Source organism: Homo sapiens, chromosome 13 (genome assembly GCF_000001405.40).
Source record: "Homo sapiens chromosome 13, GRCh38.p14 Primary Assembly".
In the NCBI taxonomy this organism is placed as follows: Eukaryota; Metazoa; Chordata; class Mammalia; order Primates; family Hominidae; genus Homo; species Homo sapiens.
The window spans coordinates 24,296,117-24,322,537 of record NC_000013.11 but is presented as its reverse complement, the minus strand read 5'-3'; the positions used below and the strand labels follow the sequence as shown (position 1 = coordinate 24,322,537).

General features: G+C 46.6%; 2 protein-coding genes and 1 pseudogene across 9 annotated transcripts in view; 1 reads left to right on the top strand and 2 right to left on the bottom strand.

Annotated features, from left to right (window-relative positions):
* Positions 1 to 6: 6 nt before the first annotated feature.
* Positions 7 to 15,372, bottom strand: C1QTNF9 (C1q and TNF related 9). 3 transcript variants are annotated; one of them, NM_001303137.2, is made up of 5 exons: positions 12,922 to 12,958; positions 7,561 to 7,644; positions 6,369 to 6,556; positions 3,658 to 3,720; positions 7 to 1,542 (listed from the first exon to the last, which is right to left on the bottom strand). In NM_001303137.2, the coding sequence occupies exons 3-5, from the start codon at positions 6,532 to 6,534 to the stop codon at positions 770 to 772; spliced, it is 1,002 nt and encodes a 333-aa protein (NP_001290066.1). In that variant the 5' UTR covers positions 6,535 to 6,556; positions 7,561 to 7,644; positions 12,922 to 12,958; the 3' UTR covers positions 7 to 769. The 3 variants fall into 3 exon arrangements, with proteins under 3 accessions (NP_001290066.1, NP_001290067.1, NP_848635.2); NM_001303138.2 differs by lacking the exons at positions 7,561 to 7,644; positions 12,922 to 12,958 and adding an exon at positions 15,310 to 15,372; NM_178540.5 differs by lacking the exon at positions 7,561 to 7,644.
* PCOTHP1 (PCOTH pseudogene 1) lies at positions 866 to 1,585 on the top strand (annotated as a pseudogene).
* Positions 15,373 to 15,468: 96 nt separating the features above from the next.
* SPATA13 (spermatogenesis associated 13) overlaps positions 15,469 to 26,421 on the bottom strand; it is a 327,268-nt gene continuing 316,315 nt past the window's right edge. For all 6 annotated transcript variants that reach the window (NM_001286792.2, NM_001166271.3, NM_153023.4 and 3 more), the window contains 3 exons: positions 24,803 to 25,175; positions 22,063 to 22,137; positions 15,469 to 19,940 (listed from right to left, as the gene is read on the bottom strand). In NM_001286792.2, coding sequence (NP_001273721.1) covers positions 19,765 to 19,940; positions 22,063 to 22,137; positions 24,803 to 25,175 — 624 coding nt within the window. In that variant the 3' untranslated portion in view covers positions 15,469 to 19,764. The remainder of the gene's footprint in view (positions 19,941 to 22,062; positions 22,138 to 24,802; positions 25,176 to 26,421) is intronic.

The following is a 26,421-nucleotide window of genomic DNA, read 5'->3' as shown; positions in this document are numbered from 1 at the left end:
CATTTCTGTTGTTTAAAGACTCCCAGTTTGTGTACTTTATTAGAGCAGTCCTAGAAAACACATAGAGATTCAAGTCTGGCAAATAATGATCGAACAATGATTTGTTGGGTAAAATGGTGATTAAAACCTAGGTTAGAAAATGAGCAAAGTGGGAGGGAGAGCACCAGGACAAATAGCTAATGCATGCAGGGCTTAATACCTAGGTGATGGGTTGATAGATACAGCAAACCACCACAGCACATGTTTACCTATGTAACAAACATGCATGTTTTGCATATGTATCCCAGAACTTAAAATAAAATAAAATTTTTTTAAAAGACAAAATGAGCAGTGTCTACAGCTTTCTGGAGTATGACAGCATCACCAGCTTAAAGCTGTTGCTAGTACTAAATTGAATAAACATTTCCCTCTAATTTCCCCTTAATGTCCTCAGAAACACAGATGAGGGATACATCTTCATATGACTCCTCAGAGCACTAAAATGATATTAAAACACTCTTCCCACAAGAAACGCACAGACGAGGGATTCTTCAGATAATAGGAATAAGAAATGTGAAATAAATTAGAATAAACCATGCAGCTATTTTAAATATTTACTCCTGGAAAAATAGTAAGTTACACAGAATCAGTTTTGGGAATAACTTTTCCATTTTCACCTTTTTATGATTATTGTAATAATTGGAGGAATTAATAAAGTAAAACCATCTGAATAAGTTCATCCCAAGCTGATTCTGATGGATGGTGTGGCGGATTTTTAAACTCTCCTCTGTCACGGGCTGCTGAACAGAAGGAACCCTGTGAAAGTTGTGTCATCGTCCTCATCAGCAAACAAGCCATTGAACCTCTCTCCTCCTGTCACCTGCAGCCACACCTCATCCCCGAGCTTCAGCTGCAGGACAATGCCGCCAGAGGCCTGGTCCTCAGAGCTCATGTAAGCATCTTTGGTGTGCAGTATTTTTACTCCATTTTTGACCAAAGACACCTGAACATTTCTGGAGAAAACAGTGATGTGGTAGGTGAAGTAATAGACCCCAGCAATGTGGCACGTGAATTTCCCCGCTGCTGTATCATAATGGTTGAATTCGTTATACAGGATCTTATCAAATTTAATGGGCATATCTGAAGAAGGAAACTTGCTCAGCACCGTGAGCCCCACAGTGAAAGCACTTTTTGGCAAGACTAGAGTCTCACCGATTTTCCCTTTCTCTCCTCGATCTCCTTTCCAGCCTCTTATTCCCCGGACTCCTGGCTCACCCTGGGGCCCCGTGGGTCCAGCTTCTCCTTTGGGACCAGGCTTTCCAATAGGGCCCATGGGGCCCGGTAAACCAGTTGGGCCCAAAGGCCCAATGTTGCCCCTTGGCCCCTCAGGACCAGTGGGACCCACGTCACCCTTATTCCCCTTCTGCCCCTGAGGCCCAGTCTCTCCTCGGAGGCCCTTCTCTCCCATGGGCCCTGCAAGCCCCTTGGGGCCATGTTTTCCTGGGGATCCTCTTGAGCCTTGATCACCTTTGATGCCTTTTGCTTCAACTTTTCCATCTGCTCCTAAATAGAGAAAGAGCAAATAAAGAGATAGCTTGTGAAAGATTCCCTTGTGAACAACTTTGGTTTTTCTATAATTGAGCTCACAAATGAAACAAAGTAGTGCACAGGTTCAGTATATGCCCAGAGTTTAAAATTCAATTACTCCATCTGGGTGCAGTGGCTCACACCTGTAATCCTAGCACCTTGGGAGACCGCGGCAGGAGGACTGCCTGAGGCCAAGAGTTCAAGACCAACCTGGCCAACATAGCAATACCCTGACTCTAAAAAAAAAAAAGAAAAAGAAAAATAAGAAAATAAAATTCAATTACTCCAGCCCAGCTCAGTGGCTCATGCCTGTAATCCTAGCACTTTGGGAGGCCAAGGTGGGCAGACTACTTGAGTCCAGGAATTCAAGATCAGCCTAGGCAACATGGCCAAACCTTATCTCTGCAAAAAATACAAAAATTAGCCAGGCGCGGTGGTGCACAACTGTAGTTCCAGATACTCAGGAGGCTGAGGTGGGAGGATGGCTTGAGCCCAGGAGGCTGAGGCTGCAGTGATCCGTGATCAAACCACTGCACTGCAGCCTGGGCAACAGAGTGAGATTCTGTCTCAAAAAAAATAAAAATAAATGAAAATCAATTACTCCAATTACACACGTGTGTGCACATGGACACACACACATCCCAACACACCTTTTGACTACCGTCTACTAAATTAGTGTCAGGGCTCACGTTAGAAATTACAACCCTACCATCTAAGTCTACCATGCTGGCCATTAAATAATGTCAATCCATGACAGAAAGCACTCTTCAGAGCAGAGACAGGTAGATTAACTGACACTCAACCCTAGTCGTGACATCCTCTAAAAACCTCCTCCCTGGAGTGAACATAAAATAAAGCCTGCATCGAGGCATTGCCCTCTCCTGCCCAACCCCAGCCCCAACCCACCTATCCCACCGGCAATTCATCATCTACAGAAACCTTGCTGCTTCCTTGCACCCCCACCCATACCAAAGAGCCGTGGTTGCAAGTGTGGACTCTGAGGTTAAATGCCAGGTTTCCATTCTGTCCCCATATGCACACAGGACGTCAGATGAGCTAGTGAGCCTCGTGCCTCTGTTCCCTCACATATGGAACTAGGGTAATAAAACTACCTAGCGTCTGGGGATATTGCATTCAGTGAGTCAGTACATGAAAAGCACAAAGTGAAGATTACACAAGTTTGCCACTACGACTACATCCCGACCCATCAGGGACCAGTTCTAGTTCCACCTCCTCCATGCAGTGCTGCCAGATGCACCAAGTCAAAAACTCAGTCTCACTCCTCAGTGCTCATCCACTGCAAGGTTCAAGGTTCAACAAACTACAGCCACAGGCCAAATTCAGCCTCCCTCCCGCAAGCTAAACAAATATGGTTTACATGTTTTTTTGTTTTTCTGGGTTTTGTTTGTCTGCTTGTTTTTTTGTTGCTTTGAGACAGGGTCACCCACTCTGTTACCCAGGCTGGAGTGCAGTGACGAGATCATGGCTCATGGCAGCCCCAACCTCCCAGGCTCAAGCGATCCTCCCACCTCAGCCTCCTGGGTAGCTGGGACTACAGGCACGTGCCACAATGCCCAGCTAATTTTTTTTTTATTTGTATAGACAAAGTCTTACTATGTTGCCCAGGGTGGTCTGGAACTCCTAGGTTCAAGCGATTCTCTTACCTGGGCCTCCCAAAGTGTTGGGATTACAGGTGTGGGCCATGGTGCTCGGCCATGGTTTGCATGTTTAAATGGTCACAAATAATATTCCACAATACATGGAAACCATGGGAAATTCCCATTTCAGTCTTCACACATATGGTGTCACTGGAACAGAGCCATGCTTATTTATGGAGCATCTACAGCTTCTTTTCACTACAAGGGGAAGTTGAGTAGTGGTGACAGATCTGTATGGCCTGCGGAGTTGAGAATATTTACTACCCAGCCCTCTGCAAAGCCTGCCAATCCCTGCAGAATCCCCCCGTCTGGAGAGTAAGAACTGTGTTGCCTTTATTGTAAGATTATAATCAGCATGGAGGACTTGTCCATGGTAATATTGTTAAATAGTCGACAGCTCAGAATTAGAGCACCATAAATAGGAACTACTAACCTCGTTCTCCCTTCTCTCCACTCGTCCCATCCTTCCCCGGGCTGCCAGGACGTCCTGGTTCTCCTAGGTGGAAAAGCAGAAAACAGGCATGAGTTGAAATTCCATTTCTGATTTTTCTGGCCATTGGTCTCCATCAGCCATGTGTGTTGGAGAGTCTGGGGGTGACCCCCGCCCTGACGGGCACTCTGTCCTCCACACAAGCGCAGGTGGAGAGAGGCAGGCATGAGCGGGCATCTGGGGTGCTGAGCTGCGTGGGATAAGTGACCTAAGAAATGAACTGAGTGACTTCCCAAGCGCCCATCTCTAGGACGTGCCTAGAGCGCACAGCAAGACAGGACGAAGAGGGAGTGTGTGCAATGGGGACTGACTGTCACGATTGTGTTCCTCTCCTGCGACAAGGACTTGGGACGTGGTCTGAATGTTGGAGGTGCCAGGAGGTTTCCTCACTCTGTTTCTCTTCCATTACTCTTGAGGAGAGTGGAACGGAAGATTTACTAGGCTCCTATGAAAACACAGATGACTATGGTTACGTGACACTATCCCAAGATAGAAGAGAGAGTTCTGGAAGGATCCCTCTAGTGCCTTACACTGGGGGAAATGCCACCAATCAAGCTGGCAGAGAACATCAGGTGAGTGGGGCTCTGCTGACTACACTCAAGTCCTTGTGCTCAGAACAGGCCCCCCTGAGCTCCAGGTCGGCGTGCTATCCGTCAGCAGGTTGAAGGTGGCTCTGGCTATGGCAGTAGAGTGCTCATTGGGCCACAGCTCACCCCAGACTCTGGCTTCTCACAAAGCAGCAGAGACTCCCATACTTCAGACCCACTGACGTGGCTGTGGGGCGACAGGGGCAGGCTGGGCCGGCTTGCAGGTCCTGAGACAGGACTGACACAGGCAGACTTATTTCTGTCACGATGTCTGTTCTCCTGGGACACCAGCGCTCCTGAGTGGGGCCTTGGTCAGCGTGGGACCTCTGAATGGAGGGGGCTTATCCCTACATTTGCCCCTCCCTGCGCTCCCCTCCCCTCCCCTCCCCTCCACTGGCTGCTCCCCTGTGTCTTCCTCTCCTTCCCTCTTTTTGTTTCCCTGCTTGGCTCTCGTTTCTCCCATTCTCTAGAGCGGTGGCCTCTGAGCTTTCATGATCACGCAACCACAACTCACAAAGCATGAACACAGACCCCAATCAGTAGATATTTATATGTTTCTACATTATGCACAGGTAGTATATGGAAAATATGTTTGGTATAAAACATATACAAAAATACACTTTAAGATAAGATAAAAATGAAGTAAATTTTTAGTGTGAGCAATGTGAATGAATATCCTTCTAAGAAGTAATATATATTATATATAATACCTATGAACTACGTAGAAAAATAGATACATAATTTGCTTCTAAGAAGTATATAAAACTTGAAAGAATGGACACTGGTGAGAAAAGAGGAGAGAAATTCAACAGGGAAGAGGTAGAGAAATTTGGTATTGAATATAGGAGTGTTTGTCTTTGTCCTCTATTTTTTATCTATCACCTATTTATCTCCTTTTGTGTGTAAAATTTTATAACAAAAAATGAAAATCTTATATATTCAGAAATACAATACACACACACACACACACACACACACACACTACTGTGGTCCCAGTGTGAGGGCAGAAGACCTGATTTCATTAATGGTAAGGTTTTGCTATTCATTTGGACTGGGCTGTTTGCTACCTGGGGACTGGAACAGTGTCAATGAGCTGGAGATGTGAGCCAGGAGAAGACACCTCACAGAGCAGATGTGCAGGATGGTGGTTAGAAAGAATGTTGCTTCCTGGTGACCCTTGGCTTCATCCAGCCCACTCAAAACATCATCAGGCCACCAAATGCCATAAGCTGAGATGTGTTAGAAACACAAACTTATCTTTAAAAAGGTCCATAGAAGTTTTGATATATTTTTTTGTAATGCCACTGAACTGTGCCCTTAACCCAGATGGATCATTCTGCATATGCCTTAGATATGTGACCCTATGGTCAAGACCAGGCCTCAAGAATGGTACCCCATTCGGAAACCAAGTCTATTGGTTGTTGTTATGGAAACCACTCGGACTTCTCAGCTTTGGCAAATCTCCCTCCCAGAGGCTGAATCCTGTCCCCCAGATCCCCAGACCCTGGGACAGGGTCCCAACCTAGGTCATATAGATGCATAAGCAGCAGCTGTATGGTTTCAGATTCTCGTCTCCTTTTGTGTCATCTGTCACTCCGCATCTCCTGCTTCATGGCATGATGCGGTATTAGCTCTCACCTGCACTGCAGCTGGGTGCTTGCTGCCAAATAATTCGTGATCAGATCTCTCTATTAGCCTTTTGTTGCCAAAAATCCATCATACCTGTCACCTGAGATGGGAGGATCCATGACATCGTATACTACTGAAAATGTTCTGCGGTGTCAGAGATGAGAGAACCCAGGAGGGCAGGGGTCATGGCGATCTTGCCCTGTGCTCTCCACCAGCACCTGGCACAGAGTCTGGCATGGAGCAGACCCCGTGAGTGTTGCTGGGCAGATGGGTGGATGGATGAATGGGGTCAGGCTCCAGTGAGTGTTGCTGGGTTGATGTATGTATGGATGGATGGGGTGTGAGTGGGTAGGTGGAAAATCACACAGATGATGAGTGAATGAGATGAAAGGAATGAAGAGAGAAGTTGAAAGGCAGCCGAAGCCGTCAGGTGAGTACCTGCATCGCCTTTGTCACCCTTCGCTCCGTCTCGTCCATCTCTTCCAGGCAGACCATTGTGACCGGGGTTCCCAGGGATTCCAGGGTGCCCTTGCCTGCAGGTGTCCTGTGAGTTTATGTTCCCTGTGCAGATTTCAATGGCAAGCAGAAGCCACCAGATCCTCATGGTTCAGATGACAGACTCTGAACTGAAAGAGGGAAACAGAAACCCAAAGGAGAAATCTTTGTTGCTGGGGCCCTGGACACAGCCTCTGTTCCGTGCAGTGGGAAATGGATGAGCTGTCCCCTGCCCCAGACCCACACCTGCACAAACTTGGACAGAAGGCTCAGGGCAGGGGAGCAAGCTGATTATAACCAGAATGACACTGTCCTTGGAAGGTAACACTTGTGATTGGAACCACTCTTCAAGGTGAACGGGCAATTTAAAAAGCCAAGTTTAAGGTCAGGATACTCTTCCGTTCATCATTTCACTTTGAAGAAATCACTTTTCTGAACCAGAGATCAATGCTTACTTATCTCACAGGACTGTCGTACAGATCAAATTTTATCACGATATGCATAAAGGCACATTCCAAGTAGTGAAGCAAACATAGCATTACCATCTGATCCAGCAATTCCACTGCTGTGCATCTACACAAAATAATTGAAAGCAAGGACTGGAACAGATGTCCATGTTCGTAGTTGCATTATTTTCCATAGCAACCCAAGGGTCCCTCAGTGGATAAATAGATACATGCAATGTGGTAGGTCCATACAATGGAATATTCTTCAGCCTTAGAAAGAGAAGAAATTCTGACACATGTTACAACATGAATGGACCTCGAGAACATTATGCGAAGTGAAACCAGCTAGTCACAAAAAGACAGACCTGGATAATTTCACCTATAAGAGGTTCCTAGAGCCGTCAAACTCATATAAAGAAAAAGTAGGATGGAGGTTGCCAGAGGTGAAGAGAGAAGGAAATGGGAGTTGTTTGATGGGTACAGAGTTTCTGTTTGGGAAGATTTTAAAAGAGTTCTGGAGATGGGTGGTGGTGATGGTTGCACAACAAAGAGAACGTACATAATGCCACTGAATTGTGCCCTTAAGATGGTTAAGCTGGTTAGTTTTACGTTTTATGTTATATATTTTTTACCACATTAAACAATTAAATTAAATTTTTAAAAAAGTAAAGCATTCCAAGAAGTCTTACTGTAGTGAGAGGTGTTCTTTGAGTCAGGGTCTTGTTTTTCTAGGAGGCCACTGTGAAGAAGGGCCACACACACGGAAACATCACCTAGTTCGGGAGAAATGCATTTTCAAGTCCTTTCCTTATATATAATTTTTGGAGACAAGGTCTTGCTCCATCACGCAGGCTGAAGTACAGTCATGCAATCACAGCTCACTGTAGTCTCAACCTCCCAGCTCAAGCGATTCTCTTGCTTCAACCTCCCAAGTAGCTGGGACTACAGGCATGCACCACCACACCTGGGTTTGGTTTTGTTTTGTTTTGTTTTCGAGATGCAGTTTCGCCCTTGTGGCCCAAGCTGGAGTGCAATGGCCGATCTCTGCTCACTGCTGCCTCTGCCTCCCAGGTTCAAGCAATTCGGCTTCTCAAGTAGCTGGGACTACAGGCGCCACCACCACGCCTAGCTAATTTTTGTATTTTTAGTAGAGACGGGGTTTCACCATGCTGGCCAGGCTGGTCTCAAACTCTTGACCTCAGGTGATCTGCCTGTCTTGGCCTCCCAAAGTGCTGGGATTACAGGCATGAGCCATTGCCTATTTTTCTTTCTTTCTTTTTTTTTTTTTCTTTGGAGAGACTGGGTCTCACTCTGTTGCCCAGGCTGGTCTTGAAATCCTGAGCTCAAGTAATCCTCCCGCCAGTCTCCCAAAGTGCTAGTATTACAGGCTAAAGACCCTGTACCTGACTTTTAGGATTTAAAAAAATGAAGTAAAACAAAAACGTGGGCATAGTGCAACTGGTCAGAACCCAGATCCTCTCACAGTGCTGATAGCCATGTAAATCTGCACATCTTTCTGGAAAAGTTAAAGAGCAAAAGACATCTATGTCTTTCACCCTGTATTGCTATCCCTAAAATTCTTCCTAATGTTCCAAAACTGTGTGCCAATTGTGTGCCATTACCTGCAGCATTATCTATAACAGGTGAAAACGTGCATACTACATACTATGTAACAATAGGGGAAAGGTTTACTATGTGTAATAGTATGTAACTGCTGCAATAATTATGAAGGTCATGTAGAAATATGTAAATGATATACATTGTGCTGAATTTTGATAGTAGACTAAAATGCCATGCACATTATAAATGTACTTACGACTGTATGAATATTGACAAAAACTCAAAGTGAATATATGCAAATAAAGATGGTTGCTTTAGAATGGGGGGCAGTTATGGGAGCTTTTCATTTATAAAAAATGCTTTTTTATAGTGCCTACACAAATATTTCTAGAGATTTTGAAAACCAGCAAGACTCTCTGTCATCCAAAGACTGTATTGCCATCTGGTGGAAATGTCACAGGGAGCAGTCTAATGCAAATGGAGTATTTTTGGGAAAGGAAATGCAGATGCTTCCCTTCGAAGTCACAAATTCGCTCCATTCCAGGAAATTGAGTTGAGTTTTCTTGGAGCCAAATTCCATGAAGAATATACACGAGCCTCCTTTGCTAAACTCAGAAGTGGCCGGAAGCAGTCAAATCGAAATTCCATCAACCAAACTTTGTTGAGGGTTCTATAATTTTCATTTTAACTTTTCAAAATGTGGAGTACAACTATTCCAGGAATAAAATGATCAGAAGATCATAAAGGTGTCAGGTTAGGATAAACTCCAATTTGCTCTCCAGGGAAGAAGAAGCCAGCCTGGAAGCAAATGGTTACTCTTCTGTAATTATTTCACTAGTTTTGCATATTTGATGTAGGTAGAGTCTATCTAGCTTGTTTATACAGCATGTAGACAACCTTCAGCAAATGATTTTGATTAACTAATATGCGTTCTCCCAAATACGTAGCAAAGTAAGTTGTGCCACTATTTCTGTTTTATTTGTTTGTTTGTTTGTTTGTTTATAGAGATACAGTCTCATGAATGTTGCCCAGGCTGGACTCGAACTTCTAGGCTTAAGTGGTCCTCCTGCCTCAGCCTTCTGAATAGCTGGGATTAGAGACGTGGTCACCACCTAGGTTGGCACTATTTTTTTTTTCTTTTTTTTTTTTTTTGAGATAGAGTCTCGCTCTGTCGCCCAGGCTGGAGTGCAGTGGCGCGATCTTGGCTCACTGCAAGCTCTGCCTCCCGGGTTCGCACCATTCTCCTGCCTCAGCCTCCCGAGTAGCTGGGACTACAGGCACCCACTACCATGCCCGGGTAATTTTTTGTATTTTAGTAGAGACGGGGTTTCACCATGTTAGCCAGGATGGTCTCGATTTCCTGACCTTGTGATTCGCCCACCTCGGCCTCCCAAAGTGCTGGGATTACAGGTGTGAGTCACTGCACACGGCCGCTTGGCACTATTTTTTAATAAGAAATTTTAGCAAGTTTATACCTCCTATTTAGCCTCTTCTTTAATGTAGAAGGTTGAGGATTTGCACAAGGAATATAGAAGAAATTATATTAATGTTATTTTGAAAAATAAAAAATTACATTTGTGCCTCTCACAAAGCTATGGGTTGGACCCTCAGTTTCATTAGTTCAACTACAGTTACACTCTTGACTTTTAATTTCTGGGTCTGGTCTTTTCCCAGAAGGCACTAGAGCTAGGAGCCTCTTCTGTCTCCCATCTTTCCCTGCAATCATCCACTCTCTCTCTCATCTGAATTACTGTCCTCCCCAGTCCCCACTTACTCTGTACACCACACCTAGACTAATGATCACTTAGTAGGCACCAACCTGGGTTAGAGCTTTATGAAGATGGTGACTGCATTTTTCTACTTCCTTATTTTCAGTCAAGTATTTGTTGAATGAATCAATGCAGGCATGCAAGAAATACTATCCTGGTTCCAACTGTGTGTGGACCATCACTTGGGAAGGTGACTGGGTATCAACTCTGATCCTTGTCAGTGCTTTCGTGGAGTTGCTAGTAATCTCCAACACCCCTTCTCACCTTCATCCAGAGTAATAGAAATTTTAGCTGGGCTTCTAGGGGCCCATGATAGACTGCACTCCCTAGCCTCCCTTGCAGCCTGGGTATGACCATGAGCTAGATTACGGGCCATGGGGATGAGCAAAAGTGAGACGTGTAATTGTGTGCAATGACCGGCCTTAAAGGGTAAGGGGGTGCCCTTTCCCGCTTCCTGTGGGGGGGTGTGCATGGCATGGTGAACCATGTGGGACTCCTTGAAGGAGGGCAACAATTTGGGGATAGAAAAACCCCTGGCCTCAGATGACTCCACAGACCAGACCTGCCAGCACATCTTTGACATAAGCATATGAAACAGAAATAGACTTCTATCTTGCATAAGCCACTGTTATTTGGGGTCTTGACACACAGCTGAGCCCACATCCTAATTCAAGGCATGCGCTGCCCAAGGTGCGGCCGCTCTTCAGAAGTGAGGAGGCTTGCAGACATCTGTAGTCAGCCAGAGTGACAGCTGCTGGGGACTCACTGGGCATACAACCCTCCCAGTAATATATGTAAAAAGCGACAACAGTCACTGCCTTGGACAAATCAAGACAAGATCTCTATACATTGATATCATATGTATGTATAGAGAATAGAGGCCATCATTCTGCAGAATGCTGTGACCGCATGAGCCAGACATACTGGCATGGTCAGGGCAAAGGGACACAGACTGCAAATAACTTTGAAGTTAATGTTTTTTAGTCCCCCCAAAATAGTGTTCTTATTTAGTTCACTTATTTCTGACTCATTCTCCGATTCTTTACCTATATCTGTCCTTTGCTAAAGAATCTCTTGATAAATGGTCACCCAGTGCCCTCTTCCTGATTAATTTTCTCCAAGAACATCATATCCTTAATTCTACAGCCAAGGTTATCACTCCTCAAGATTCTTAACTCTCCAAAACTAAGATTTAATGTAAACCTGCTAGAAATCAGCTGAGTGATATCTCCTGGGTTTCCAAACCTCAGAGCCTCAGCTTCCTCCTGCATGCACTGGAAAGGACGAATGCCCTCCCGGATCTGACGATCTAAGAGTCAAAATAGCTCTAGGCTGCCTTCATCGAATATATTGTCTTCCATGCACTCTCTATATTACACACTTTATACATTTCTTCAACATATCTTTTTTTTTTTTTTTTTTTTTTGAGACAGAGCCTCGCTCTGTTGCCCAGGCTGGAGTGCAGTGGCGCGATCTCGGCTCACTGCAAGCTCTGCCTCCTGGGTTCACGCCATTCTCCTGCCTCAGCCTCCCGCGTAGCTGGGACTACAGGCGCCCACCACCACGCCTGGCTAATTTTTTGTTTTTTAGTAGAGACGGGGTTTCACCTTGTTAGCCAGGATGGTCTTGATCTCCTGACCTCATGATCCACCCGCCTCAGCCTCCCAAAGTGCTGGGATTACAGGTGTGAGCCACCGCGCCCAGCCTTCTTCAACATATCTTGACAGTTATTTTTTTCCTGCACTGTAAATTAGCATAGCCATAAAAATGAAAATGTGTACAATCTGAATATGATGAACCTGATCAGGAAAAAAAAGTACACATTAAAATTTGTGCAAAATAATCTATAAGCTTCTCTAGAAAGCTCTCTTAAAAAGATCCATCATAGGCCGGGCGTGGTGGCTCATGCCTGTAATCCCAGCACTTTGGGAGGCCGAGGCAGGCGGATCACGAGGTCAGGAGATCGAGACCACAGTGAAACCCCGTTTCTACTAAAAATACAAAAAAAAAAAAAAAAGTAGCCAGGCGCGGTGGCAGGCTCCTGTAGTCCCAGCTACTCAGGAGGCTGAGGCAGAAGAATGGTGTGAACCCGGGAGGCGGAGCTTGCAGTGAGCTGAGATCCTGCCACTGCACTCCAGTCTGGACAACAGAGTGAGACTCTGTCTCAAAAAAAATCCCAGCACTTTGGGAGGCCAAAGCGGTTGGATCATAAGGTCAGGAGTTCAAGAGCAGCCTGGCCAAGATGGTGGAACCCCATCTCTACTAACAATACAAAAATTAGCAGGGTGTGGTGGCCCATGTCTGTAATCCCAGCTACTCGGGAGACTGAGGCAGATAATTGCTTGAACCCGGGAGGCGAGGTTGCAGTGAGCTGAAATCATGACACTGCACTCCAGCCTGGGCGACAGAGCAAGACTACATCTGAAAAAAAGAAAAAAAGCCCACTATTCTTATGACTTATTCTATGGTTTTTCTCTCTCCTCCCAGCCAATTGCAGAGTTCCAGCAGAAGAATTTCAAAATCTGCTTTTATCTCCTCTTTAGCCTCTTCCTCAAGAATGAATTTTGAAAGCGGCTTACCCCTTTCCTACCCAAAACTGTATAGACATCTGACTATTTTGCAAATAACTAAGCAGGATTATCCCACAGATAATATAAGCGTTGTTTTAGGACCTAGATGGCTTAAATTGAATGTAAAGAAATCCTTTCCTGATGAACTTACCTGGACCCTAGGGCTGCAGGCTGGACCCAGATACTGTGCAAACCAAGAATCAAGGGCCAGCTAAATAAAATCAGCCTTCCTGCCATACAATTCCCCAGTGGATATGTCTGCAAAATAGCAGGAAGGGGAGGGAACAGAGGAAGGCCAAGATGTCTTGGAAGAGCTTCAAGAATTACAGCAACACGTAAATCAGGTAGCATATTCTACCAGCACCACTTAGTTTAGAAAAGTTAAATCCTTTTGAATGAAATGAGGGAATACTTTCAAGGGGAGTCTGAAGGAAGGAGTGCCCCAGGCAGGTTTCTTTCATATATATATATATATATATATATAATACTTTAAGTTCTAGTGTACATGTGCACAACGTGCAGGTTTGTTACATATGTATACATGAGCCATGTTGGTGTGCTGCACCCATTAACTCCTTTCTTTTTCAAAGTGATGTTCATGCCTTTGCTTCAGTGCTTCTCCCTGACCTTGGGGTAATTACGGGCAACAGGACAAAACTGAAGGCTGCTAACTGTTAAGTGGCTGGGTCTCATTTGGATCCCGGACCATTAGAATTCCTACCGCTTAATTAGATTTTCAGATGGGTGTGTCGTAATGCCTTACGAGTTTAGGCATTTGTGTAGGTAAGGATTCAGTGTCCATTCCCCTCTCACAATCACACACTCCACCTACCACGGAGAACGCGGTGCAACCATTTGTTCAATGCCAGTAATCATGGACTCACTTTCCTCGTGTCTAGTAGTAACATTTATCTAAAACTTACAGTAGCTTCCAGAGGACAGAGGAGCCCAGCCCGGTTTCCCGAGATGCCGCAGTGCACGCAGCAGGAGCAGAGGCCACGCACAGAGCAGGAGGCCACGCAAAGAGCAGGAGCAGAGGCCGGGTGTACGGGTGGGTGCGGGGCTCACCCCAGCTCGGCGGCGAGGCCACGCACAGAGCAGGAGCCCACGCACAGAGCAGGGGCAGAGGCCGAGTGTACGGGTGGGTGCGGGGCTCGCCCCAGCTCGGCGGCGCCGACTCCCTCTCCCGCCTTACTCGCCCCCGTGCCTCAATTTCCCCGTCAGTGCAGCGGACATGACAATGCCGTGGTCCCAGGTGGGCGGCGGGATCTAATTAGTCGGTGTAAAATGAGTGAGATCTGGCTTCTCCCCGGCACCCCGCAGCCTGCCCCCACTCTTGGTGGCTAAACGCAAGGAGCCCCTGAGTCCCAGCTCCGCTGGGGGCTCTCAGCAGTTCTGGCCGGGCTCCCTCTTGCTCGCGTGGCTGGTCTCTGACCCCTGCACCGCAGGCGGCCCCGACGGAACGCGCGACGGGTCCCCGACCTCCTGCTGGGGACACCCGTCTCGCTGCCCGGCCCTTCCCCGCTTCCCGCGCCTCTGCGCCCCGGAGAGCTCTGAGACAGGACCACCTGGGCAGCCTGCCGGCCTGGACCTCTGCCTCAGAGCCAGCGACGGAAGCACAGCCTCGGGCCTCCACCGGCCACGCGCTCCCCATTCCGGGCTCTCCCACGTCTGCACACTCCAGCCCAGCCACGCGGAGAGGCTTCCAGAACCTGCCCTGCGGCCCCGCTTTGCTGACACCCCACTCACTCCGTGGGTTCTTCCTCCCGCCAGGACCCTGCCGGGGCCTGGGGTCCGTGGGAAGCCGGCTCAGGAATCAGGATCCTGGCCTCCTGCTTACAGGGAAAAGGGCTCCATCCTCCTGGTGTTTCCCGACTGCAGCGCCTCCAGCCTCCGGGGCTGCTGCGGCCCAGGTTCAGCTGGGTTCACTCCAGCTTTGCTGGTCTCGCCAGTGCAGAGTAGGGGCGCGCTTATGACCTAACGGTCATCTCCCCACAACTCTCCTGGAAGAAAATGCCACCCCCATCTCTTTCACTGTGTCCTATACATGGAGCCACTATGCTCTGCCCTATGGGTTCTGGGGCTCGCCCCCTCCCCACCCTAGCGACCGCCCTTCCCCAGTGCAGCCCAAGGTTGGGAGGAGCAGATCACTTTGGGAAGCAGGTGGATATTAAGAGTAAACAAAAAGTGGGCAGTAGCCACTTGGCAGCCTTCATAGGAATCCTTTTCTGATTACAGCCACAGCAAACAATGGGCTGTTGACTTAGCTCTTCTGAGCTGTTGGAGAAGGAAATTCTAATCTACCCACCCGCAAAGGGCGAGTGAGCAGGGCCACTAGCACAGCTCCTGTGGCAGGGCCTAGCCTTCAGGGGCAGTCAGAGGGCACAGTCTGTTGTTCTGTCTCCTCTCCATGATCCCTAGCAAAAGCGGCCCCGCCCCACTGCTCCCTTCCGCATCCCTCTTACTCCAACCACTGACGTTTCTCAAGCCAGGGTGCCCTCCGAGGTTGCCCTCGGAGCCCCCCTTCTCCCACGCCTACCCAGTGGTTACATGGAGCTCCTGAATGGATGAGTTGTTGCCACTGAGAAGTCTAGGGACATCAGGGCAGCAGAGGAGCTACAAATCCCAGAAGCCCCCGCACCCAGCTCTCCACTTCCTCCTTTTAAAGGCTGCTACTCAAATGCATCATCAGAACGAGTTTGGCAAATGAATTTTAATATACAAAACAACAAATATAGATTCACAGCATTTAAAAAAATCATTCAAATAACATTGTAAATAATTTTTTTTTACAAAAAACTTCAACAAAAATACATATCAAGTTACATCAATCTTGTACACTATACTTTGGCTGTCAACAGCAAATTCCTCAGTTCAGAAGTCCCATTCTTTGACCTATACAGATGACACATCATCTTGAAGTTAATGAGCTAAAATGTTGCCCAAAGCCTTGCAAAGTAGGTTAGCGAGTCATACAGAATGGACACTAATATTTACAAAAAAAGATTAGAAAGATTAAAAGTATTTTCTAAATATAAAATGTCAGTGCCTGTGAGATAACTAAAGGCAACAATGTAAAGTATGTTGTAGCTAAGTAAACTTGTATCAAATATTTAAGCTTTTGCTTTTTTTTTCAAGATCAGTCATGTTCCACTTATTTTTCCAAAGCCTTTTGAAATCCACTTTCATTGCATCCTGAAAACAATGAGACTTTAATAGAACAATTTGCAGATTAGGTTATTATGGGAAAGCTGGGTCTGCTAGTAGTTTCACCTAGTTGACTTGGGTCCTCCATTTCTGGCCTGTGAGCTGGTGAAAGGACATTTATTCATACTTCTTGACACTCCTTTGAGGGACAATTCTAAGTTTCTTCTCTCCCTGACAAGTAATAGTGCAGAAATACTCCCCCTAACTCCAGGTAATTATGCTGTTCTATTCTGACTGGGACACCAAGTTGATCTGCATGAAGGAGTATCAGCAATTTGGCTTGCAGAGATTTCCACCTGATAAAATGCTGGTTCAGCTGGCTTTTACAAAATACTTATATTGTGAACCAAATTTTGAATTAAATGCACTTTGCTTTATGTCTAGATAACAGTCATGTAGGATGGGGGGATTTTCTGAATAAGAATGGCATCGGTTTTCATCTAGGCTAGGTATAAAAAGGCACAATATTCAGAAATAGTGTTTGATGGTGGTGAAATGTTTTCAACTACAAAATCAGATCTACAGTGGGAAACAAAAATCAGATCTAATGAAAAGAAACCATGTGGCTGGTATCCCAGGGAAGCTCCAGCATACTACTGCTGCCCTCTTTCTAGTCCGCAGGCCAAAGACAAAGAAATCTACTGCTCCAGGATTCTGCAAACATTCAATTTTATGATTTTATAATTGCTTTTAATCTACGGCAGGGTTTTTATATGTTTTAGGTATGATCACAATTGAAAAGGTTGCTTTTGACCCAAGGCTACTTCAATTATCTTCTAACAAAGTCGACCAATTCTGAAACGTGAAGAATGGAATAGGTGAAATTCATCAAAATGTTATGTCATCTTTTCTTTTCTTGGCCCATCTATAATATTATGTAAAGTAAGGTTAAAAAGAGAGAAAGGCATAGAGGCGGGAGAGAGCAAGATTCCCAATGAAATTCATACACTGTCCATGGAGGAGGCTCTCTGTTCCCTTTCTTTCCAAGTGGAACACGTGACTCAAATCAGGAAGGAAGTTTGGCAAATGGAAGATGAGAATACTTGAGCCTTCCATTCTTGAAGAACTCAGGCATGTGGTAATAAAACCCAAGCCAGACATGCAGATTTTCAAGAAGTCAAAGGATGTTCTAGCCTTTTAAAAATGTTAGCAGTTTTCAAAATCACCTGAACATCCAAGTAGGATCCACCCAGGAGAGATCTTTAATGGAGTGACCCTCACACTCTATAAAACTGACAGGGGCAACGAATTGAACCTGACTTAACAAAAACACATCCTGGTATTCATAAGTCTCTGTTAGGAAGTCCGTGGAGGTAGGTGGGAGCCGGAAGTTAGGGCTCAGCTGGAAAATAAATTAGGACTGGCCACAAAATGCAAACCATTTCTTCATTACCCATGAATAAATATTAGGAAATGGAAGTCCTAAGAATGACTCTTAAACTGAATCCTCACTGAAAATGTAACACAAGCAAATGATTCTCTTTACTTCCTTAAACTAATTCTCTTATATTACATTTAAAACAATTTGTTCAAAATTGCTGTACATACAAACAACTCTAGCAGAGACCCCTACAGTTATTGCTAAGGTGTGCAGGAAAAGCATATTAAGTAGTTTCCAACATATATCATTGTATTTTGTTAGTAAAAAGGTCAGTTCTATAAACACATCTAAAGTTGGAATGTCTGTTCAAGAAGGAAACATACACACACACACCCCCACACATGCCACAGGACCTCTCCAGAAGCTCCTTCCTGCAGCAACTTCTGTCTCAGGACGTGCCGAGCGGCATGATGGTCCACAGAAGCAACTCGGGCTGTCAGCCATGGGGCACCTGAACCCTTAGCAGTGCTGCCTGTAAGCATGTGTGCCAAGGTGGCTCAGAATGGACATCAGGCGGTCACAGAATGTTCCAAGGGTTCACCTGAGGACCAAGGTTATGTTTTCTTGATGCATGATGTCACTCTCAGGAACGGCTCTGGATGTGGGGGGCTGCAGGGGAGAAGGGAGGTGCCACACACCTGCAGACTGAAGAATACACCTTTGTCTCTGACATCACAGACTTGTTTATTCTCAAACATGGGCCTGTTAGAAAAAAAAAAACTGCAGGGATAGCATACAAAAATGAGCTTCTCATATAGATATCCATTAACAGTTTAACACAGCATCTCCTGTCCAGGGCACTGAGCGGGTTGAAAGGGCACCTCTCTTGCAGAGCCTGCCTTCTCTAGACATAGTTAAAAGTTATATCATGAAAATGTACAACATAGACAAAGAAAAGGAGATGATTATCTGCAGGTGTCAGCCTAGGTGGCCTTTGTTAATAAAGACTGCTATCTCTAAGCCAAGATATTTTGTGAAGGTCTTTTTTTATAAAGAACAAGTCCTCAGAAGCCTGATGACATGCTCACGTGACATGGTTATGCCCTGTTTGGCTTTATATGTGATAAAGGCAGCTTCTGATTTCCAAGAAGCAGGACTGCTTTGGCTGTCTTTGTGACTTCATTGCTAAGGACGATGTCAGGAGCAGTGCGGCTCTTTGAGAGTGCCTTCTGACCAGTGCATTTTCATATTCACTGTATCATAAATATTACAGTAAATGAGCTTTTTATATTGCAAACAGTTGTTTGAATGTTTTTTGTTTTTGTTTTTGTTTTTGGAGACAGTCTCGCTGTATCTCCCAGGCTGGAGTGCAGTGGTGCGATCTCAGCTCACTGCAACCTCCGCTTCCCAGATTCAAAAGATTCTCCTACCTCAGCCTTCCCAGTAGCTGGGATTACAGGCATGCGCCACCATGCCCAGCTAATTTTTGTATTATTAGTAGAGACTGGGCTTTGCCATATTGGCCACGCTTGTCTCGAACTCCTGACCTCAGGTGATCCACCTGCCTTGGCCTCCCAAAGTGCTGGGATTACAGGCATGAGCCACAGCACCCAGCCTTGCATAGCAGTTTCTTAGGTTACAGCATGTGGGCAAGATGTGATTTCTGCTCGGAGTTACTGAAGGCGTGCAGGCAGGAGGGAATCCGACTCCGGGACAAAGCCAGTGTGCAGCAGGATTTCTCCCTCCTTGCCTGAAAAGCAGTGGATTCTTGAGGATGCGTAAGTTGCTCTGCACTGAGGACCCTGATGAAGGTGACAGATGCATCTTCTTTCTCTCCACTTTGCTTGCAGGAAGAGGAACCTTGCAGGATGACATTTGCACTACCAGTTAGCATCTGTGTGGACACAGACGATGCCAGGGAACACCGTGGTCAGCCCCACGGCAGCTGTAGGTCCCCCAGTATTACAGAAGAGAGTAAGAGCTCAATTTCTAAGTGTGACCAGACACGTGCAGCATTGTGTCAACCCCGTCTTGACGGCATCCTTGAAAATCAAATGCAGAAGTGATCCTCTAACCTCATCACTCCTTAGGAACTGCAAAGCCCTGGATGCTGTGTTTGGACCTGCAGCAGGCACTTGCTCATCATCAGCAGGGGTGGCTTCAGCTGCTGCCTAATCACTCGCTTTAGAGCATGGTACCGGGTCCCACATCTGGGCCATCTCATAGTGGGTCACGGGTGTTTCTGTGTAGGATAAAGCTTTGTGTCATGACCGTCTCCTCCCTTCCACAAAGGCAGCTGGGTCTCCAAAGACTGAAGGTGATTCCAAGACCTTCTCTCCTTCATTGATCCCTAAAAGGAAGTTTTTATCACTGGGTCCAAGAAACTTTCCCTGGATTGAAGCACACAAGAAACAAAGACAGTTCTTCTCTTGACACCCAGCTCCATGGAAGCACAGCCTCCTGTTTTCATTTCCGGAAGGGGGTGAGCCTGTTGAAGGTGTGCCAGAAGAGCGAGGACTTCCTCTTGGGTTCCGCCAGGCCAAAGACCTGCTGCTGGGGGACGCTTGTGGGCATAGTGATGTGGCGCTGGTGGATGGGGTGCAGGCCCTGGTGCGGTGGGGCCACAGGGCACCTGTTGTAGCCTGACTCGGGAGGGGAGAGAGATGGAACAGGGACTGAGGGTCGCTTGTTAACCAGAAAGGAAAAAAATAAAAATGCTGAGACTCCAAGTCCAAGTTCTCAGCTAATTCTTTTTTTTTTTTTTTTTTTTTTTTTTTTTTGAGACAGGGTCTTACTGTCACCCAGGCTGGAGTGCAGTGGTGTGATCTTGGATCACTGCAATCTCTACCTCCCAGGCTCAAGCGATCCTCCCACCTCAGCCTCCTAAGTAGCTGGACCTACAGGTGTGTGCCACCACGCCCAGCTAATTTTTATATTTTTTTGTAGAGAGCTAATTCTTAATTCACGTTAACCAAAAAGAAGGTCCAGTAGCTACACTTGTTATGTTCAGGTACTCCGTGTGGAGCGTGACACAGTCTCTCTCACTGAACTCTCCCAAAAAGCCTCCAAGGAGGGTATTATGACAACAACTTGACAGGGAAAGAAACTGAATGCCAGGACGTGCAGCGGGAAGTGGCAGAATCTGAACCAGACTGACAGTCAAGGTGAGTAGCAATAAAATGCTCTAAATGGAAGTCTGGAGCTCATGCTGCCTTGGCCCAAATTCTTCTGTGCCATTTATCAGCTGGGATTACTGGGGAAATGATATGATTTCTCTACGCCTTGGTTCCCCAATCCCTAAAACGGGGATTACAGTACCTATGGGGTTGCTATGAGAATTAAATGAATTAATAGAAGTAAAGTGCTTAGAACTGTGCCCTCAATATCTAATCACTCTAATCAAAACTTCACCGGCATAGGTATTTTTAATCTGTGCAGAGGTAATTTAGAAGGTTTATTAAAATTAGCGATTAGATTAAAACGTAACTGTGTAAGTCAGCATGGCACGAAGAGGGTGGGCCCTGAAAGCAGGAAGGCCTTGGCTCAGAACCCGTCCCTGCCCCTGGCCTGCCAGAAGGCTCTCCCTACCTCCCGAGGTGGCAGGAAGGAAGAAATCAGATAACCCAGGCACAGCGTCCCACCCGGTAGCCACCTGTGAACGTCAGCAGTCCTTCCGTTCTTGAGAAGCCTGGCTGCTGGGCGAGTGACTCGCAGAAGATATGGACAGAAAACAATGTATTCTAACAAATTGATTTACTAGTCATCTGACATTAGAAGTGGAGATTTAAAAAAATTAATAACATGGGTTTTTCTGCCTTAAAGATATTTGTAACTTAGTGGGGAAAAGAAATTCTGCATTTGCATGGAGAAAGCAGGGGAGTGTTAAGTGTGGTTTGGGGAATCAGTTCTTCACTGACTAAAGGTCAGTGGTCTATTGCAGTCCTGGGATTCGTTGGTCCTTGTTTTTGCATTTGCAGTCAGGAAAATACCAAAAGAGATACATTTCATGGGGTAAATGCCTTTTAAAGTAGAAAGATGACGGGAATAAAGTTTCTAAGAATACAGTGCATATTTTTTGGGGAAAAATCCTTATTACTGAATTCCTGTTGGGCCAGATTATCTGCATCCTGTTGGGCCAGATTTGTGTGGACAAATCTTAGTGCATCAGAGCCCCTGGGTATGCGGCCTGGGCATCAGCATTTTTGAACAGCTTCCCCAGGGAATTCTAATGTGCATGGAGATTAGGGAATCACCGCCCTAAATCAGCTCACGTGTCTTTTTTTGTCTAACTCCTTGCCTGATGTACCGAACCTTTACATCTTTTTCTTACTTAAACTAGACTATATCCAGCCTACAGCTGACAAGCAGTTTGGGGTTTGAGATTTTGTCCTCTCATGCCTAAAAGATGCAAGAGTCCTTGGTTTGCCTCAGACTGGGGATGTGCGTGACCTTGTGGCTAACACCATCAGCACTTGGGGGAGGGGAGCAGAGGGGCCCCAGGCAGGCAAGGAGGTCCACCACCCTCCAGCAGCCCCTCTGAAGGTTTCCTATGCCCACATTCCAATGGAAGCAAACACTGACGCACATTCAAAACCAAACACAGGCCACCTTCACCTGGCCCCTGTTCTGGACCTGCCCTTGAGTTCTAACTTCTACTGTTCTCCTTGCTCCAAGCTGGTCACAGGCTGACAACTTGGGGTATGCTCCCATTTTCAGGAGAATACTGATAAGCATTAAGGGGACAAAGCCTTCTCCATAACTTACCTTTTGACTTTCCATGTCCTGCCTTTTGAGCATTTAACATGGCAAGTTTCTTCTGGTTTTCTGAAATTTCCATTCCTGCATTTAGAAATAAATGTGATATATATTCAGAACACGTGGACATGTTTCAGAGCAAAACTTGTATCACAGCCCATATCAGCATTGAGGTTATCACCACAACCTGAGACAGAGAACCTTAATCCTCAAAGAACGTGGACAGGTTGAAGATCAGAAAAGGGGAAGTCACAAGGATTATCGCCAAGGTGGCCATGTGATTGTCCTGCAAACCCGGACAGTTTGGAGAGTGAAATGGGGTGGTGCTCATGAGAATGCAGAATGTCTGTGTGAAGCCCGACGCTCCCGGGCAAATATTCCCACAGGGTCATCCCAATTATAACCTAAAGGATGAGGCCCCAGAAGGAGAGGACAGAGCAAAGGGTCCCAGGGCGTGTTCACCCATACGCTATGAGAGCTTTGCACGTTAGCAGTTCCACCCTGAACAAAGGTACCACGTGAGTAGCAGGTAGCGGATTCTGTACCCCAGCTGTGTGTAGTGTGTGCCCTGAGCATTCCCTCACTGTAAAGTCCAGTAGCACAGTGACAGTGTACGTGTGCAGTGTGTGAACTGGGTGAAACAAGAGTCACTGGAAAGACAAGATGAGGCAACCCTTGGCTTCGCAGGGTGTGGGGAAGGAGAAGGAAGGACAGAGCTGAATGGCCAGGGCTGGGTGCTGGGGCCCTGCCTTCTCCCGCGGGAAGCCTTCCTCCTGTAGGCAGGTACTCGCTCCAGCTTGGCAGAGCTGACCCAGGCCCTGTGTCTGCTAGCTTGCACTGCCTGGCTCGCTCCCGAGGCTCCCTCTCTACCTCTGCCCACTCTGCTCCCCTGGCCCTGATTCCTTCACATGCCCAACATCTGTCCCAGACTGTCCTGACGTCAGGCTCAGGCTCTGTACGCTGGCCACCGGGCTGTCCCTGCCTCCAAGGCCCTCCGTGTCCATTCTCTCTGATCTGCTACCTGAAGCTTCTACCCACACACATGCATCAAGTACGAGGGCTGCCAAAATATTCGAGGCAAGGAATGCATCCAGTTTTATCCCACACGTGCCAGTTCACAGACTTACTGGCTCAGGAGTGCCTCAGTCATGCACTTGCATCTCTGAGCACTGGCCACAGGGAGCATTACATGGCAAAGGGCACCACATCGGGCCCCTCCTTTCCTTCCTATTGAGAGACACTGTTGAAAGCACATAGGATGCCCCCACTAAATAGTGCCGTCTTTGGGAATCCAAACACTCTGACTTACAGATGACTTCAGGGCCTGCGCTAGACAACGTCATATGACGACTAAAACTAAGATTTTGTGGCTCTGTCATTTTGCATTTTAGTAACTGTCATCTTCAAATGAATTCTGGGCACGAGTGATTAGCCCTATTCCAATGGGGCCCCAGAGTCTGCACCAATAATCTATGGCTGTTGCTGGGAATCAGATTTCCTCTTAGTGTAAAGGACACCCTGACACTTGGTGTAAGGGGCTGCCTGTGATGTGGGGAGCTCTGTATCTTGGAGTGGCCCAAGTCCAGGCCAATGTCTACCCATTGAGTGTTTCCAAGTCGATCCCTGCTTCCGTTTTAGCCTGACCAACTTGTAAATCCCTCCAACTCTACTGCAGAATCTCACAAAACCTCCTGTGGGTGAGACCAAATTCTGTAGCCAAGCTTAGAGCCAGTGGCTGGGGAGGACAGAAAAAGCACCTCCTGGTTTTTAGTCCTGCTGTCCTCATGGCAGTGGGCAAGGATGGGGAGGGGCGTATGCTGGCTCCCCTCCGTCCTGGACCATGACTTTTGAGGGCTGGGCTCACTTGGGCTGCAGAGATGAATATCCTTCACTGTGGCTCCCTGACTTCCATTCAACAGATTGTGCTCAAAACCCTAAAGAGCTTGGGAGGCAATGAAATAGAGGCTCAGAGACTGTGGGTGCTGCCATCATTAATGCCAGGCATGGCAGCTTCAGTCTCAGGGGCCACACTGCACCTCCAGGTCAGCAGAAGCTGGGAAGACAAACCAAAGAAGTACAAATGTAACACTGGGTGTGAAGTACCATCGCCTTAACTGCAATGGACGATGCGGCATCCTGAGTTTCATAGGGAGAGATGGGAAGCATGAGGGCAGGCTGCTGGGTGTGGATCAACTGTGGCAGTGAAGAACACTGAAGGTATTGCACAGGCACAGCCAAAGGGGAGGCCTCCAGAATCACGTGATACTTCTGATAGCCTGGGTGATGGTCACCATAGTGGGGTTCCATCTCTGGGGTCACACTGAACTGGTTTTATTATTTATTCTTCATACCCTGCATGTGGCATCCAAAGTGCTGGATTTAAATGTTATGTGGCCACAGTGCAAGAGTGGGCCAGTTCCATAAGCCTCAATTTTCTCATCTGTAAATTGGGTATAATAACAGCAACCACTTCATAGGGATTCAATGAGACAATCTCTATAAATGGGCCACAGAATGTCTGGCACAAGGTAAATACTGAATAAATGTTGCCGGTAGTAACTACATCTGACATGGTCTGTCTTGTAAGTGCATTCAGAAGTATTTAGGGTTTGCAGATCCCTTGTCCTTTCCCCATGGTGGGATTCAGCTCTGAGGGAGAAGGCTGGGCAGAGCAGGCCCATGGGAGTGGAGAATGAAGCTATTACAGCAAGCAGAGGCACAGGTGCCTGCAGAGCCAAGGGCTGCTCACCCATCTCCTTGTCCTCTTGCACCCGCCTCCTTTCATCTGCACAGGCCTGCAGCCACCTCGCCTTGTCTTCTTGTTTTTTGGCACAAAACAAATAAACCTCGTCTGTGGTCCTACTGACGAGCTTGAAGGCATTTTTCACGCTGAGGTTGCAGTCCTTGTCGCGCCCATCCCCCAGGTCCACAAGCTCCATCTCATCCATGTCCAGCCGGCCCTTGTAGTACAGCATGTCCCTGCGCAGCAGGTCCTTCTTGCAGGACACCAGCTGGTGGTCAAACAGGAAGAACGTCCGCTGCTGGCTTTTGCCTTGCTTAGTGATTTTGGTCAGCTCCCCAGAATGAATCAATTCTGAGCTTCGGTCTAAGATATCCAGTCCCTGGAAGGATGAAAACACATCTTAAGACCTTCCAATTCTACCACAGCTGTAGTCCTAGCTACTTAAGAAGCCAAGGTGGGAGGATCGTTGAGGCCAAGAGTTTGAGACCAGCCTGGGCAACACAGCAAGACCCCATCTCCACATAAAATTTTAAAAATTAGCCAGGCATGGTGGCACACACCTGTAGTCCTAGCTACTTAGGAGGCTGAAGCGGGAGGATCCCCTGAGCCCAGGAGTTTGAGGCTGTAGTGAATGGTGATCACGCCAGTACACTCCAGCCTGAGGGGCAGAGCAAGACCCTTCTCTCTAAACAACAACAACAACAAACAAACAAACAACAACAACAACAAAAACAAACTCCCAATTTGGATTCCTTCAGGTGTTAGGATATGGAAGAGACTCCTAACACAGAATCTTTCTCAGACTTTCTAGGTACCTGAGGCTGCCTACCACCTGTCCCCATTCACAGGTGGGCAGGGCCTCAAAGGTTATTTGTAATAAACCTGGATTTATTGGTCTCCTGGTGCCTGAAATTTCTTCCTTTTCTTTTTTTTTTCCTGCTTACTAGAAAAATGTGACAGTGCCTCTGTGTTAGCTGAGGGGTCTTCCTAGCCTGAAGCCTCTGGTAAGAGGCATGCTGAATTAATGGAACCCAGTCAAGATCTGAAACAGCAGCTGACCCAAACGGAGCCTCCAAGAGTGAGAGCACGCAGGCTTACATGGGAGAAAGCATTCATGCAGGGGACACAGTATCGTGATTATGGACCTGACATTATTTGCGTTGAGTATATGGCAGCTCCCTGGAATTGCAACTTGTTCAGGGTCATAGAAACAAAAGGCCAGACGATAAATTGTCAGCAAGAAATTAACTTCTGACAAATTATCCCCTAAATGTCAGCGTCCAAAATCAAAAAGAAAAACACACTTTTATTATATTTAGGTTGAATCTAATCCAATGTTACTTTATGGTATTTGGTATGACAATGGCCTTTGTTAAATAAGATTTGATTCTCCCTTAATCCCAGTCACACACAATATTTTTTGGAGGCAAAAGAGCCTGACTCCAAAATAGTTCTTCTATTTACTTGCTCAGAGCAATTCCGTGCCCTAGATTCTTCACTGATGAAATAAAAGAGTTGGACTCAGTGTTCTCAGAGATCCTGCCCAAACTCCAGAAGTCTATAAGGCCCTTGAAATGTATGTGTTTCTCTCCAATTTTCACCACCTATAGCCTATTTCAGTTAAA